Source organism: Homo sapiens, chromosome 6 (genome assembly GCF_000001405.40).
Source record: "Homo sapiens chromosome 6, GRCh38.p14 Primary Assembly".
NCBI lineage: Eukaryota > Metazoa > Chordata > Mammalia > Primates > Hominidae > Homo > Homo sapiens.
The window spans coordinates 132,695,298-132,713,064 of record NC_000006.12 but is presented as its reverse complement, the minus strand read 5'-3'; the positions used below and the strand labels follow the sequence as shown (position 1 = coordinate 132,713,064).

General features: G+C 38.0%; 1 protein-coding gene and 1 pseudogene across 1 annotated transcript in view, besides 1 other annotated feature; one reads left to right on the top strand and one right to left on the bottom strand.

Moving 5' to 3' along the window:
* The window catches only part of VNN1 (vanin 1), a 33,207-nt gene that overhangs the window by 991 nt on the left and 14,449 nt on the right, over window positions 1-17,767 (top strand). The window contains exon 2 of the mRNA NM_004666.3: window positions 1,226-1,356. Coding sequence (NP_004657.2) covers window positions 1,226-1,356 — 131 coding nt within the window. The remainder of the gene's footprint in view (window positions 1-1,225; window positions 1,357-17,767) is intronic.
* Window positions 13,049-13,218: an enhancer, noted in NCBI's record as "experimental_89876 CRE fragment used in MPRA reporter constructs". NCBI's record gives its function as "activates a minimal promoter by MPRAs in K562 erythroleukemia cells, with activity observed for both the introgressed and non-introgressed 6:133021071 variant alleles {active_cell/tissue: K562}" and the evidence as "EXISTENCE:reporter gene assay evidence [ECO:0000049][PMID:34662402]".
* CCNG1P1 (cyclin G1 pseudogene 1) lies at window positions 13,392-14,470 on the bottom strand (annotated as a pseudogene).

Genomic DNA, 17,767 nt, shown 5'->3' with positions numbered 1-17,767 from the left:
TTCCCGGGCTCAGGTGATTCTCCCACTACAGTCTCCAGAGTAGCTGGGACCACAGATGCATGCCACCGTGCCCAGCTAAGTTTTGTATTTTTTGTAGAGATGGGATTTTGCCATGTTGCCCACGCTGTACTTGAACTCCTGACCTCAGGTGATCCACCTGCCTTGGGCTCCCAAAGTGCTGGGATTACAGGCATGAGCTACCGTGACTGCCCTATATTCTTATATATACTAATATTTAAAAGGTTATCAGGAGTTCTGATGTTCTTTTTCATCCTTAGTCCAACTATTTCCTTGAAGGTCACAGAGCTTTTTAAGGTGACTCTCTAATTGGAAGGTGCCCAGGTTAGCTCAGGCAGTACTTGTAGGCATGGGACAGTTCAAGTAACCAGTTTGTGGCTCCTCTTTTTCTGAGAAGCAGGAATCATGTTTGCAGGGGAAAGCTAGGGCAGAGGAGGAAATAAACAGAATATTTAAGTTATTAATCAGTCTTGACACAGGCACAGTCATCAGCGAAAGTTCAAGGAGAGGCTTGGTTCCAGGATAAGCTAGGTTTATAGTTAACGACTGCCATAGGAAACAACAATGGCAGGATTAGAAAATTAAAATGCTTGACTAAGCCAGGTGCGGTGGCTCATGTCTGTAATTCCAACACTTTGGGAGGCTGAAGCAGGCGGATCACCTGAGGTTGGGAGTTCAAGACCATCCTGACCAATATGGAGAAACCCCATCTCTACTAAAAATACAAAAATTAGCCAGGCGTGGTGGCAGATGCCTGTGATCCTAGCTACTTATGAGGCTGAGGCGGGAGAATCGCTTGAACCCGGGAGGTGGAGATTGTGGTAAGCCGAGATCTAGCCATTGCACTCCAGCCTGGGCAGCAGAGCGAAACTCCATCTGAAAAAAAAAAAAAAGAGAGAAAAAAAAATGCTTGACTAGAAGCCCAAACCTCACCATTATGTAACATATCCATGCAACAAACCTGCATTTGTACCCTTTGAATCTAAAATTAGAAATAAAGAAAAGAAAAGAAAAAGAAAAAGAAGTGACAGTGCACTGAAAAAAAAGGAAATTAAAATGCTTTGGAAAAGAAAATAAATTATAAAAATATAGAAAACAAAATAAGATTTAAGGGGTGTGGGGGAAGCCCAAATAGTTGTTACTCAGCCACTCAGCTCCTCAGCTCCTCTTGCAGGCCCCCCTTTGGATTAAGTTGCATTTTTAACAGGGTGCGCATATTATTGTGACTCCAGAAGATGCTATTTATGGCTGGAACTTCAACAGGGACTCTCTCTACCCATATTTGGAGGACATCCCAGACCCTGAAGTAAACTGGATCCCCTGTAATAATCGTAACAGGTAAAGAAACAACTTGTGAAAAATTCACTAGTAAACATCAACTTGATTTACCTGGGAAAACTTTGTTGATGATCATTGCATAGATCCATGATCAATTCTTAAGTTTCAGTATAGCTTATTTTTCATCTACTATGGGTATATTTACTGGGAGAGCAAATATGAATTATGAAGTCACAGAAGTCAGAGCTAGAAAGTAGCTTAGAAATCATCACATTCAGTGTGAACATCTCTGGTCTCTGACTCCTCACCAGTGAACAGAAAAATATTTCCCTGTGTAGGTCTGTGATTTGAAAACTATATGAGTAAATGGCAAAAGAGAGTCACATCAGTTTAAGATTAATAGTTTTCCTTTCTCATTGCTAAGATAGCTGATGAGGTTAATGTAGTAAAGTCCTTAAAGTGTAAGCTGATTGTAATCTAAGAGGTGATATGGCAGGATTTTAAGTGGTTTAAGTCAGGTCTCGGCTACAGAGATATTAAGTGTGGTGAAAGCAGCACTATTAATTTTAATGTAAGGAAACCAATATCTTATACACCTAAGAAAATCATGTCGATTCACATACTTCTTTCTGAATACACATGGCTAAAATTATTTTAGGAATTCCTCTTTTGGAACTATTCTCAAAACCGCACAACGCCAGTTAGAATGGTGATCATTAAAAAGTCAGGAAACAACAGATGCTGGAGAGGATGTGGAGAAAGGGGAACTCTTTTACACTGTTGGTGGGAGTATAAATTAGTTCAACCATTGTGGAAGACAGTGTGGTGATTCCTCAAGGATCTAGAACCAGAAATACCATTTGACCCACCAATCCCATTACTGGGTATATACCAAAGGATCATAAATCATTTTACTATAAAGACACATGCATGCATATGTTTATTGCAGCACTGTTCACAATAGCAAAGACTTGGAACCAACCCAAATACCCATCAATGGTAGACTGGATAAAGAAAATGTGGCACATATATACCACAGAACACTACACAGCTGTAAAAAAGGATAAGTTCATGTCCTTTGCAGGGACATGGATAAAGCTGGAAACCATCATTCTCAGCAAACTAACACAGGAACAGAAAACAAAACACTGCATGTTCTCGCTCATAAGTGGGAGTTGAACAACGAGAATACATGGACACAAGGAGGGGAACATCACACACCGGGGCCTGTCGGGGAGTCGGGGGCTAAGGGAGGGATGGCATTAGGAGAAATACCTAATGTAGATGATGGGTTGGTGGGTGCAGCAAACCACCATGGCACGTGTATACCTATGTAACAAGCCTGCATGTTCTGCACATGTATCTCAGAACTTAAAGTATAATAATAATAATACTAAAATTAAAAATCCCACAGAAACTGGCTGGGTGTGGTGACTCATGCCTGTAATTCCAACACTTTGGGAGGCCGAGGCAGGAGGATCACCTGAGGTCAGGAGTTTGAGACCAGCCTGGCCAATTTGGCAAAACCCCATCTCTACTAAAAATACAAAAATTAGTGGGGCGTGGTGGTGGGCACCTATAATCCCAGCTACTTGGAAGGCTGAGGCAGGGAGAACTGCTTGAACCTGGGAGGCAGAGGTTGCAGTGAGCCAAGAGAGTGACACTGCACTCCAGCCTGGGTAACAGAGCTAGACTCTGTCTCAAAAACAAACAAACAAACAAACCCACAAAAACTACTTACAGAGACACCTTGATTTTGACAAGGTGGATTTTGATAAATTCCAGTGTTATTTATCATAATCATTTACTCTATTCTTATTTAATTGTACCATAATTATTTCTTATTTAATCATGTCATATGTCAGTGCTTCAGTTTCTAAAAGGCAAGCACTCTATTATCACTTCCACTATGAATTGAATTGACTTATTTCTGAATGGCCTTTCCCTAGAACCTCATCTCCAAGGGCCTCCTGAACATCCCCACAAGGATGTCCCATTCACTTCATTTCAAGGAACACGGTTGCCCATTTATGTTTTCCATCAACTAATGATGTCTGAATGTCTTGCCTTAATTCTCTCTGTCTCTCTCTCTCTTTTTTTTTTTTTTGAGAGAGAGACTCTGTGTCGCCCAAGCTGGAGTGCAGTGGCGTGATCTCAGCTCACTGCAACCTCTATCCCCCAGGTCCAAGCAATTCTTGTGCCTCAGCCTCCCGAAGATGACAAGTGTGAGCCACAACACCCAGCTAGTTTTTTGTATTTTCAGTAGAGATGGGTTTCACCATGTTGGCCAGGCTGGTCTTGAACTCCTGGCCTCAAGTGATCCACCTGCTCGGCCTCCCAAAGTGCTGGGATTACAGGTATGAGTCATCACGCCCAGCTGCCTTAATTTATTAACTCTGCAAATTTTTTTTGAGTACCTATTATGTCTAAACATTGTTCTGGGCAATGAAGTGAACAAAACAGATTAAAAATTCCTGTCCCCTTGAAATTTATATTCTAGTGTGGGGAGGTAATAAATGTTTTAAAAAGATAATTATCTATCTATCTATCATCTATCTATCATCTATCTATTATCTATCTACCTATCTTTATATAGGTATCTTTCATCTGTCTACCTATCTATGATATGAGGTGGAAGTAAATGTTATGGAAAAAATAAAGTGGGGAAGGTGAATAGGGTGGCAAGCGTGGGGCTGAAATTTTAAAAGGTCGTCTGAGGGCATCACAGTGAGATTTCAGCAAAGACCTGAAAGAAATGAGGCAATAGATCATGTGAGTATCTGAAAAAAGTGCATTCCAGGCTGAAGGAATTCTAAATTCCAAGATCCTGTGGTCAGAGTATGTGTCTAACCTATGGAACAGAAAAAGGGTTAGTGTGGTTACAGTGATGTGACAGAAGAGGAGAAAAGTAGGAAATGGAGGCAGAAGGGCAGGAGGAGCGCAATGTTGAGAATAGACTCCAGGGTATAGGTCACCAAAGAAGCAGAGGGCAGTTCAAAAGCTGTTGTGATCATTATGGCATAGAGATGATGGGTCTGAGACCAAGAAATGGTAGAAGTTTAGGTATTGAGAAGTGGACAGATTCCGAATAAAGTTTGAAAGTAGCACTGGCAGGTTTTGTTGAAAGACTGGATGTAGGATGTGAGAGAAAAGGAGGACTCAATATCCTTCCCTGCTCTCATAGAATCAGATCTCATCTTATTGAGTATGTTTGAAGTATGCACATAGTTGATTGCTTTCTCTTCTCATATTCACCAAACTTTTGGGACCTACATCACCTCTTAGACTGAGCGTTAAAGGAACAGGCTCTCATCACTTTTCTTTTTTATTTAATTTATTTAGCATTTATATGTCATATCGTTCCAGAAGGATTTGAAGTTTCTAATTATATCTAATATAATTAAAAATAGGATACTTTAGTTCTAACAACAAACTAGAACCCATATGAATAGAGGAAGCAGTTGTTATGAGGCATCATGGTAAAGAGCTGCTCATTACAACTGGATGTTAAGTATAGTTCTAAGAGTTTCTGAGCAGCTAAGAGAAGTACAATTTTGTTCAGACACTTTGATTGCATCATAGAAGAAAGCTTGCATATTTCTTCAGAGACAAACTATGTCTAATAACCTAACTTAAAGATGAATTTACTTATTCAACTGTTTTTGTTAATTATTTTATTTTTAACTTTCATGGGTACATAGTAGATGTATATATTTATAGGGTACATGAGATGTTTTGATGTTTGTACACAAGCATGCAATGGTAACAATCACATCATGAAGAATGGGGTTTCCATCCCCTCAAGCATTTATCCTTTGTATTACAAACCATTCAATTATGCTCTTTTAGGTATTTAAAAATGTACAATTAAGTTATTATTGATTATAGTCACCCTGTTGTGCTATTGAATACTAGACCTTATTCATTCATTCTAACTATTTTTTTGTACCCATTAATCTCCTCACTTTCTCCCCACTCCTCCCCTAACTACCCTTCCCAGCCTCTGGTAACCATCTTTCTATTCTCTATCTCTATCTCCATGAGTTCAATTGTTTTGATTTTCAGATCCCACAAATAAGTGAGAACATGTGATGTTTGCCTTTCTGTGCCTAACTTACGTTATTTCACATAACCTAATGATCTCCAGTTCCATTCATATTGTTGCAAATGACTGGATCTCATTCTTTTTGTAGCTGAATAGTACTTTATTGTGTACATGTACCACACGGTTGTTTCCAAATTTTGGCTATTGTGAACAGAGTTGCAATAAACATGAAAGTGCAGATATCTTTTCTATATACTGATTTTCTTTTTGAGGAGTATATACCCAGCAGTGGGATTGCTGGATCGTATGGTGGCTCTATTTTTAGTTTTTTGAGAAACCTTCAAACTGTTCTCTACAGTGACTGTACTAATTTGCATTCCCACTAACAGTGTATGAGGGTTCCCTTTTCTCCACATCCTCACCAGCATTTGTTATAAGTCATTTTAACAGGTGTGAGATGATATAATTGTACTTTTGATTTGCTTTTTTTTTTTTTTGAGACAGAGCCTCCCTCTTGTTGCCCAGGCTGAAGTGCAATGGTGCCATCTTGGCTCACTGCAACCTCTGCCTCCTGGGTTCAAGCAATTCTCCTGCCTCAGCCTCACGAGTAGCTGGGATTACAGGTGCCTGCCACTACACCCAGCTATTTTTGTATTTTTGGTAGAGACGGGGTTCCACCATGTTGTCCAGGCTGATCTCAAACTCCTGACCTCAGGTGATCCTCTTGCCTCAGCCTCCAGAAATGCTGGGATTACAGGTGTGAATCACCATGCCCGGTTGATTTGCAGTTTTCTGATGATCAGTGATGTTGAGCAACTTTTCACATGCCTGTTTGCCATTTGTATAACTTCTTTTGAGAAATGTCTGTTCAAATCTTTTGCCCATTTTTGGATTGGATTATTAGATTTTTTTTCCTATAGAGTTGTTTGGACTTCTTACATATTCCGGTTATGAATCCCTTATAAGATGGATAGTTTGCACATATTTTATCCCAATCTGTGGGTTGTCTCTTCACTTTCTTGATAGTTTCCCCTGCTGTGCAGAAGCTTTTTACCTTCATGTGATTCCATTTGTCCATTTTTGCTTTGGTTGCCTGTGCCTGTGGGGTATTACTCAAGAAATCTTTGTCCAGACCAATGTCCTGGAGAGTTTCCCCAAAGTTTTCTTTTAGTAGTTTCATAGTTTGAGGTCAAATATTTAAGTATATAATTCATTTTTATTTGATTTTTGTATATGGTGAGAGATAGGGGTCTACTTTCATTCTTCCGCATATGGGTATCTGGTTTTCCCAGCACCATTTATTGAAAAAACTGTCCTTTCCCCAATATATGCTCTTGGCATCTTTGTTGAAGACGAGTTCACTGTAGATATTTGGGTTTATTTCTGGGTTCTCTCTTCTGTTTCATTGGTCTATGTGTCTGTTTTTATGCCAGTACCATGCAGTTTTGGTTACTAGAGCTCTGTAGTATAATTTAAAGTCAGGTAATGTGATTTCTCCAGTTTTTTTTCTTTTTGCTTAGGAGGGCTTCTGGATCTTCTGTGTTTCCACGTAAATTTCAGAATTTTTTTTTCTATGTCTGTGAAGAATGACATTGGTATTTTGATGGAGATTGCATTGAATCTGTAGAATGCTTTGGATAGTATGGGCATTTTAACAATATTGATTCTTCCAATCTATGAACATGGAATATCTTTCCATGTTTTGTGTCCTCTTCAATTTCTTACATCAATGTTTTACAGACTTCATTGTAGAGAGCTTTCTCTTCTTTGGATAAATTAATTCCTAGGTATTGTATTTTATTTATAGCTATAACAAATGCTATTCCTTTCTTGATTTCTTTTTCAGATTGCTTGCTGTTGGCACAGAAATGCTACTGATTTTTTATGTTGATTTTGTATCCTGCAACTTTACTGAATTTGTTTGTCAGTTCTATTAGTTTTTTGGTGGAGTCTTTAGGGTTTTCCAAGTATAAGATAATAACATCTGCAAACAAAAATAATTTTCCTCCTTTCCAATTTGGATGCATTTTATTTCTTTCTCTTGTCTGATTACTTTAGTGAGAACCTCCACTACTATGTTGAATAATAGTGGTGAAAATGGACATTCTTGTCTTTTCTAGATCTTAGAGAAAAGCTTTCAGTTTTCCCTCATTCAGTATGATACCAGCCATGGGTCTGTCATAAATGGCTATTATTGTGTTGAGGTATGTTCCTTCTATATCCAGTCATTGAGGGTTTTTATTATGAAGGAATGTTGAATTTTACCAAATATTTTTTCAGTGTCAATTGAAATGACCATTTGGTTTTTGTTCTTCATTCTGTTGATATGATGTGCCACATCAATTGATTTGTGCATGTTGAACCATCCTTGCACCCTTGGGATAAATCCGACTTGGTCATGATGAATAATTTTTTAATGTGTCGTTGCATTTGGTTTGCTAGTATTTTGTTGAGGTTTTTTTGCATCAATGTTCATCAGGGATGTTGGGCTGTAGTTTTCTTTTTTATGTGTCTTTGCCTGGTTTTGGTATAGTATAATACTAGCCTCATTGAATGAGTTTGGAAGCATTCCTTTCTCTATTTTTTGGAATAGTTTGAATAGGATTTGTATTAGTTCTTTAATTGTTTGGTAAAATTCAGCACTGAAGCCTTTAAGTCCTGGGCTTTTTTTTGCTGGGAGATCTTTTATTACAGCTTCAATCTTATTATTTGTTATCTGTCTATTCAGGTTTTGGATTTCTTTGTGGTTCAATCTTGGTAGGCTGTATGTGTCTAGGAATTTATTCATGTCTTTTAGGTTTTCCAATTTATCGGCATGTAGTTGCTCATAGTAATCTCTAATGATCTTTTGAATTTCTGCAGTATTGGTTATAATGTCTCATTTTTCATCTCTGAGTTTATTTTTCTTCTATCTTTTTTTCTTAGTCTCACTAAAAGTCAATTTTATCTTTTCAAAAAGAAACTTTTTAGTTTTTTTTGGATGTTTTTTATTTCAATTTCATTTATTTCTGTTCAGATGTTTATTATTTTTCTTCTACTAATTTCAGGTTTGGTTTGCTCTTCCTTTTCTAGTTTAAAAAAATATATCATTAGGCTGTTTACTTGAAGGTTTTCTTCTTTGTTAGTGTAGGCACTTATAGCTATAAACTTTCCTCTTAGAACGATTTTGCTGTATCCCATAAGTTTTGATATGTTGCATATCCATTTTCATTTGTTTCAATAAAAATTTTAAATTTCTTCTTAATTTCTTCATTAACCTGCTGGTAATTCAGGAGCACATTGTTTAAATTCTGTATGTTTGTATAGTTTTCAAAATTCCCTTTGCTATTGATTTCTAGTACTATTCCACTGTGGTCAGAGAAGATACTTGATATGATCTCAATTTTTTTTAATGTTTTAAGATTTGTTTTGTGACCTAACATATGGTCTCTCCTTGAGAATGATCCATGTGCTGGGGAGAAGAATGTTTATTCTGTAGCCATTGGATGAAATTTTCTGTAACTATCTATTAAGCCCACTTGGTCTGTAATGCAGATTAAGTCCAATGTTTCTTTATTTTTTTTTTCCTTCTGGATGATCTGTCCAATGCTGAAAGTAGGATGTTGAAATCTCCAGCTATTATTGCATTGGGATCTATCTCTCTCTTTAGCTCTAGTAATATGTCCTTTATATATCTGTGTGCTCAAGTGTTAGCACACTTGTGTGCTCAATTGTTATATCCTCTGACAGAATTGACCTCTTTATCATTATATAATTAATTTCTTTGTCTCCTTTTATGGTTTTTGTCCTGAAATCTATTCTGTCTGATAAAAATATAGCTACCCCTGCTCCTTTTGTTTTCCATTTGCATGGAAATCTTTGCTATCCCTTTATTTTCTGTCTGTGTGTGTCTTTATAAGTGAAGTGTGTTTCTTGTACACAATCGACCATTGCCATTGATTTTTTTTCTTTTTTATCCATTTAGCCACTCTATGTCTTTTGATTGGAGAGTTTAGACCATTTACATTCAATGTTTTATTGTTAAGTAAGGACATACTCCTGCCATTTTGTTTTTTTGTTTTCTGGTTGTTTTGTGGTGTTGTCTTCCTTTCTTCCTGTCTTCCTTTTTGTGAAGGTGTTTTTCTCTGATGGTATGTTTTAATTTTTGCTTTTCATTTTTTGTGTATCTGTTGTAGGTTTTTTGATTTGATGTTATGCAGCTTGTAAATAACAACTTATAGTTCATTATTTTAAAGTGATGACAACTTAACATTGATTGTATAAACTAACAAGCAAAGAGAAAGCTAATAAAAGCTTCATACTTTAACTTCATCCCCCATACTTTTAATTTTTAATACTTTCTATTTATATCTTATACTGTCTATGTCTTAAAAAGCTTTTATAATTATTATTTTTGATTGGTTCATCTTTTAGTTTTTCTACTCAAGATATGAGAAGTTTACACCACAATTACAGAGTTATAACACTCCATGTTTGTCTGTGTACTTACTAGTGAGTTTTGTACCTTAAGATGCTTTCTTATTGGTTATTGATGTCTTTTTCTTTCAGATTGAAGAAATTTCTTTAGCATTTCTTATAAGAGAAGGCAGTGGGTTCTTTTCTGGCTCAGGGTGGGTCTAGAAATGCCATCCAGGAGCTAAGTCCTGGAATTGAGGACTTTAGGAGTCTGCTTGGTGCTTCATGTTACTGTGGCTAAGTTGGTACCCAATTTGTAAGACAAAGTCCTTTTACTCTTCCCTCTCCTTTCCTCCCCATGCCTCCCCATGGCTACAACAGCTGGGAATGTGCTGGGTCACACCTGAAACCAGCATGGTACTGGGTCCCACCCAAGCCTCGTGGTGAGTACTGCCTGGCTATCACTGATGTTTATTCAAAGCCCAAGGGCTCTTTAGTTAGCAGGTGATGATTCTTGCCAGGACTGGGTCCTTCCATTTAAGGCAAGAAGTTCCCTTATAGCCTAGTGTATGTCTAGAAATATCATCAGGGAGCTAGGGCCTGGGTTGGGGGATTCAGTACTCTACTTGGTGCTTTATTTTACTGTGGTTGAGCTGTTATCCAAGTTGCAAGACAAAGTCCTCTTTATGCTCCTGTCTCCTTTCTTAAGGCAGAGGGACGGAGTCTCTCAAAGCTGTGAGCTGTGCTGCCTGGAGTTGGAGGAGGGTTGATGCAACCACTCCTTTGACTACTCCAGCTGGTGTCTCACTAGGTTATGTGCGCTCCAAGGCTACTGGTTCTGAGCTCAGTACAGCACTAGGACTTGCCTAGGAATTGTAGTCCTTGTGGCCTAAATCAGCTGTCCCCAACGTTTTTGGCACCAGGGACTGGTTTTGTGGAAGACAATTTTTTAATGGACAGGGTGGAGTATGCTTTCTGGATAAAACTGTTCCACCTTAGATCATCAGGCATTAGTTAAATTCTCATAAGGAACATGCAACCTAGATTCCTCAGATGCACAGTTCACAACAGGCTTCCATTCCTATGAGAATCTAATGCTGCAACTGATCTGACAGGAGGCAGAGCTCAGGCAGTAATGTCACTCATCTCCTACTGTGCAGCCAGTTTCTAACAGGCCATGGACTGGTACTGCCGTGCAGCCCAATTCCTAACAGGCCACAGTCCATGGCATAGGGATTGGGAACCCCTGGCCTAGACTGCCTTTCAAGTTTATTTAGAACCCCAGAGAACTTTATCCCACATTGGTGATCCTTGGTAGAACTCAGGTTCTGACTGCTGGGTAGGACAATTCCTCTCTGACAAGAGCTGTTCTAAATGTGCCCTCTGTGGGCACTGGCTGAATTCTGTGCCATGTTGCTTTCTGCTGTTACATGGCAACACTGACTTCCAATGTAAAGTCCCACAATCACTGTACTTTCCTTCCCCCAAGGGCACAAATTTTCTCTCCACACCATGTGGTAACCTGGAGGATGGGGGAGAGTGGTATTGGCAATTAAAGACTTTCTTTCTTACCTCCTTCAGTGCCTCTTTCCTTGATATGATTTTAAAACAAGGTACTGTGATTACTCTTCTGATTTTTGGTTCTTATGAAGGTTCATTCTTGTTGTGGATGGTTGTTCAGTTTGGTGATCCTGCAGGAAGACAATTGCTGGAAGGTTCTATTTGGCCATCTTCCTCTGCTTCCTCCTCATCTTTTATTTCTTCCTCTTGCCTGATTGCTCTGGCTAGGACTTCCAGTATGATGTTGAATAGAAGTGGTGAAGGTGGGCTTCCTTGTCTTGTTACAGTTCTTAGAACAAAGGCTTTCAGCTTTTCCCCATTCCATAGGATGTTAGCTGTAGGTGCTGACATATACGCCATCTATAGCCTTTATTATGTTGAGGTATATTCCTTCTGTATAATAAAGTGCACATGTCTGAATTATATATTACTTGCCTTGAGGGTGCCAAGAAACTATTTATACTGCCTAGAATATTAACCTTTATTATGCCTAAAGAGTTCATTAGTCAAATGTTGGTTTTGATGTAGACCTCATAGTTTAAAATTTAACATTTAAATTAAATGGGTTATAATTTTTAATACCACCTAAATACAATATATTGATCCAATATAGAAAGTTAGATCAATGTTAGAAATAAAGAGTCACAGTGTACCTTTCCAGACTTGTCGTTAGCATTTCATATTTATAGTTTTAGCTTTGATTTGAATGTTTCACAGATGAACTTAAATCAACACATAATTCCACCATAGCATAATAGTAATTAGGCAGTTTCCCTAAATTTGAGAACATTGCCTTAATGTAGTTGTGATGTTTTGAGGCTTCATAGCTTAAATCCATTATACCATTATGGAATCTATAGAGCAGGGCTATGGAGAAAGGCTTCAGAGAAGTTTTTTTTGCTACTATAACCTTATTTAAAGAAACAAACAGAAAAAAACCCAAACGTATTTGAAGTCTGCTTAAATATTACTGTTAAATGTGAAGTGTTTATATCTAACATTCATAATCATATGAATGTCAACATTTAGTTTCGAGTAGAAAAAGATAAATCATTACTGTGAGTTAAGAAATTTAAATGGAGATGTGTGAGGGAGCATGTCCATTTCATCCTTCCCATCTCCACCCTCCCCAGAGTTTCATCCCCAGGGTGCCCTTCTTGGTTTCCAGCCTCTGGTGTTCTGCTTGGGGTCTTGACTTCTTCCCATGCCACTCAGGCTCAGCCCCAGACTAGAACAGGGTTTGGGAAGCAGTGGGGATAGCCAAGATGGGTGTCAGTGGGTGGCCCAGCAGTTTCTGTCCCAGGAGTGGCCACAGGCCAGGGGTAGTGGTGGCTGTGCATGTGGCCAGCCTGCTGCCATTGTCCCATCCTTGTCAGGGCCCTCTCTTTCACCTTACAGCATCTGAGGGGCAGAGCTCTAGAGGGTTTGGGCAGACAATGCCTCTGAAAATTTTTTTTTAAATAAAATTTAGATGACAAGTATATATCATATATGCAGTGACCAAGCATATAACTACTTTACAGTCATCTAACTGCTGTAGCAATGATATGTAACTACAGTGTCAAAACACCCTGACAGTTTTCAGAAACCCAATGTGGAGACCATCTGCCATATCTTACTTTTTCTTTAGGTACAATATTCAAATTCATATTGATTTTGCTTACATATGAATAGTTTCAAATTTGTTCACATATGGTTTAAACTTTTTGTCCCTATTGTCTTACTCAGGCTTGTGTAACTTAAAATGAGCCTGAGCATGGGTCTACACACAGCAAGATGTGTAATAAAAACACAATTTTAGTGCTACTTTCAAAATTCATGCTATTAAGAAAGATGCTGTTTTCAAAGCTGAAAAGATCATGAAATGGCTAACTTACATATCAGAGGTTGGATAATTCCTTACTATTGAGGTGTTATATTTTCTGTGTAGTAAATGCCTTCAAATATTAACTGAAAGATCAGTGAAGTCATTTTCCCCTTCGTGATTCCAACTTCATTTTGTTTATTTTGAAGATAATTAATATTTTAATTGCAAAAGAAAATTATAGCATTGGAAAATTTTCTGTATATGGAGAATAACAATGAACCAAATTTACCAATTAGGGAACCATTTCAGGAATTGTTGGATGGTGAATTTTTCTTCAGTAACTATGCTTTAGTTGCAATGCAGTATGCCCAGAAACAATCCATTTCAACTTCTGAATGTTTGATTTGGAACATTTGTTTGATGAGTATTCAGTTAAACACTTGGATACAAACTCTTTCCAGAAGGTCACATCTCTACCATTTATCTTGGAATGTTTCTGAAGACATTCTACTCATTTTATTAACTGTATACACTTCTGTTTTTGGATCTCCAATATGATTATAGACAATATCAACATAGAAGGCTTTGATTTAGACTCCAAAGTTTAGAGCATTTGATCTTGACATGCCTTAAATTGGGCTTCCAGTCAAAATTGAGGCCACTTCTCCTTTCAAATGGCAAGTTCCCTTGAATGAGTGAATAGTGGAGTTGTAGAAATTGAAAGGCAGTAGTAGCTTTCACTTTACATTACAACTTCTCCAATGCAATCTTTTCCATTCTCATCAAGTCTGAAACCGTGAACCTATATTCACCTATTTGGAACACATCAGTTGCCAATGGGACATCCCTTTCCTCTTCTATTGATTTTACAGCCGAATAGAAGAAGCTCAGTTCAACACATCCAAGGTGCTTGGGCTGCACCTTCATTTAACACAGGAATCTGTCCAGTAAATTCACAGAGAAAATGCCTTTGTGTTAAAGCCAAAGAACTGAATTAGACTAACATCTTGTACTTCAAAGTCCTGTAGCCTTGCAGTCATTCTGAGGCTATTGTCTATCATGTGCAAACTCAATTAGTCTCAAACCACAGATCTTTAACTGACATCTAGACTTCAGTTCCAACAAGGCATTCAGCTGGTGTAGCAGTTTCTGACAGTCAGGTTTCAGTACCTCTATCATCTTGATAGTGATTGAGCCTCAGTGGTAACCACCCTTCTTGGGCCTGCACTCACCTCACCCCACGAAATCCAATCTCAGAGGCCTAGGAAACAAAGCAAACAGAGAGGCCCAGGGAGGGGAAGCCTTCCTGGGTGGATGTCTCTGCAGAGCCACCAAGATCATATTGCTCTCATCAGGGTCAGCTTGGAGCTGAAGGGCTGAAAAGGCATTTTGATATTTGATTGCATATTATTTCATACTGTTATTTCAGAGTTTTGTGTGCACACATTGTTTCTTCAGTAAGCCTAATGCTTTATAAGCATAGCAACCACATCTGACATTTCTATGTCTCTCACATTGTATGCTTGGACAGCTCTGCCTGGAATATTCTTCCCCCAGTTGCCCACATGTCCAATATAGTGCTTTGTGTTGTGTCAAAACCTAATGCATATTTGTTGAATATTTAACATGTGCTGATTTTAGATTAGTAAATATCTTTCCGATAATTGATGATTTTTGTTATACCTAAAGATTGAACACTTTGAAAGCAGCCTTAGAAAATGCATTTCAATTATTCTCTTTCACCTCCTCCTTCTGTGCCCAGGGCAAAACTCTGCATGGATTAAGGACTCAGCAAATATCATGGATGAAGCAACAGGCAGATTTCAGGCACCATAAGCAAACTGAATTTTTAAACCCTAAATTAGGACATGTGGTCTAATTTTGGAGCATTTTATGTATACGCCAAACAGCCTGAGAAATGTAGCTTGAATTGAAATATATTAGAATACATGAAGACTAATAGAGTCAGTAGGAAAATATGTTTGTCATCAGAACTGTTTCAGAAATCCAAAACACCAACCTACTTATTCCACCACTTAAGGTGATCCAAAAAGACTGGGGGTAAACATGTTTCAAGTGGTTCAATGTGTTGTAATTTATATCTATGCATTTCAGATATCAATTGAAGCAAAGGTGGGTTAAACTATTGAACGGTTGTTCTTTCTTACAAACACATTGAAATAATAATTTTCTATATGTATTATTATATCCTTTTCCAATCTTTTTCAAGGATATGTTTTATAGATGATTGCTATGGCTTTCCTTATATTCATTATACAAATTTGTTTGTAGATCTAGTAGCCAATATTTGATGTCACCAAATTTTTATTCATACAACAGTTATCTCAGCCTTCTCAGCTATTCTTCAATAACCATTTATCATTTCAGAGTTGTGCAATAGAGGATAAATATAGCAATATGTTAAATATTATTTTCAAAATTGTATTTTAATTGCTTTACTGGGACAATTATTGGTAACTTTGTAAAAGAATAAAAAAATCAGGCATTAACAAATGCTCCAGGATTTCCATTGTTTCATACTAGCTGGTACTGCCCTAGCCAATCCTTGTTACCTCTTATTTGAACAATGGCAACAGCTTCCTAATGAATCCCCTGCATTTAGTCTCTCACTGTTCCAGTACATTCTACACTCCGTGTTCTATTTATCTTTATGAAGAAAATTTTGACCAGGTTGCTTCTGTCTTCAAAGGCTTTAATAGTACCTATTTATTACTAAATTTGGAACAAATCTTAGCCTCTTGTGCAAAGCTCAATATCCATCCTTCCTTCCTTCCTTCCTCCCTGCCTCCCTTCTTTCTTTCTTTTTTTAAAATATTTTTAAACTTTTTATTTTTTTGAGACAGAGTCTCACTCTGTCACCCAGGCTGGAGTGCAGGGGCGCAATCTCAGCTCACTGCAAGCTCCACCTCCCGAGTTCACGCCATTCTGCTGCCTCAGCCTCCTGAGTAGCTGGAACTACAGGCACCTGCCACCACGCCTGGCTAATTTTTTGTATTTTTAGTGGAGACGGGGTTTCACCGTGTTAGCCAGGATGGTCTCGATCTCCTGACCTCAGGTGTTCCACTGGCCTCAGTCTTGCAAAGTGCTAGGATTACAGGCGTGAGCCACTGTGCCCTCTCCTCTCCTCTCCTCCCCTCCCCTCCTCTCCCCTCCCCTCCCTTCTCTCTTTCCTTTCTTCTCAAATCTGAGAATGTCTTCATTTCTCCCTCCCTTTTGAAGGGCAGTTCTGATGGATATAGAATTCTTGGTTGTCAGATTTTTTTTTCTTTCAGTACTTTAAATATATCAGCTCAATGCTTTGTGGTCTCCAAAGTTATTGATGAGAAATCTGCCGATAATCTTATTGGGGATCCCTTGTATGTATGAGTCACTTCTGTCTTGCTGCTTTCAAGATTCTCATTTTGTCTTTGGCTCTCTACAATTTGATTATAGTGTGTCTTAGTGTGAGTCTCTTTGAATTCATTCTCTTGGAGTTTGTTGAGCTTCTTGGATCTTTATATTCATATCTTTCTTCAAGTTTGGGAAGTTTTCAGCCATTATTTCTTCAAATAATCTCTCTTCTCCTTCTGAGACTCCCACAGTGCATGTGTTGGACACTCAATGGTGTTCCTAAGGCTCTGTTCAATTTTCTTTAATATTTTTTGTTGTTGTTCTGCAGACTCAATAATTTCAATGGTCCTGTCTTCCAGTTCACTGTTTCTTTTTTCTACATGCCTGAATTGGTCTTCGAATCCTCCTATAAAATATTCATTTCAGTTATTGTAATTTTCAGCTCCAGATTCTTTTTAGGTTTTCTATCTTTTTATTGATATTTCTACTTTGTTTTGTTTTTTGATTTTCTCCACATCTTCCTTTATTTTCTTAAGCTTCTGTAAAACCATTGTTTTAAAGTCTGTGTTTAGTAGGTCTGTCATGTGGTCCTTTTCAGGGATGATTTTCGTTGGTTTATTTTTCCTTTCTTTTGAGTGAGTCATACTTTCCTGTTTCTTTGTATGATTTGTGATTTTTTTGGTTGATAACTAGACATTTGAATCTTATCACATGGTTACTCTGGGAATCAGATTCTCTGGGTTTGCTATGTTTGTTTGTTTGTTTGTTTTGTTGTTGTAGGATGTTTGTGTTGAGGATCAGCTTGAGATGTAAATTTAAGGTCTTCTTAGACCTTTTATGAGTCTGTACCTTTCCCTGGGCATGTATGGCGACTTTCTAAATTTCCCTGTATATTTAATTGCTTATTCCTTAAATGTCTCACTATCCAAAGGAGAAAAAGAGAAAATAAATAAATAAATAAGACACTGGTTCTTTAAATCTCCTGGAAGCCACTTCAGCCAGAAAGAGGGCCTGCAAAAATGGTGTGTCTGTATGTATACACAACAATAGCTGCTTGCCTTTGCATTTGTACCTCCATGATCAGAAGCAACAATTAGTGATCAGAATGCAGATCTCGTATATTTGAAAGACAAGGTCATTATTGTCCACCCTGCTCCCATAAGCTGCCTGCAAGCTGCTTTAGGAACACAGACATGGCAGCCTGTCACAGGGACAGGGGATGAGGAATTGGTAACCACTATTGAGCTAAGAGCTAAAATGGACTGAAATTAACTGTAAGTTACCTTCCAAGCATTCTTCTGGAAGTTGCAAGC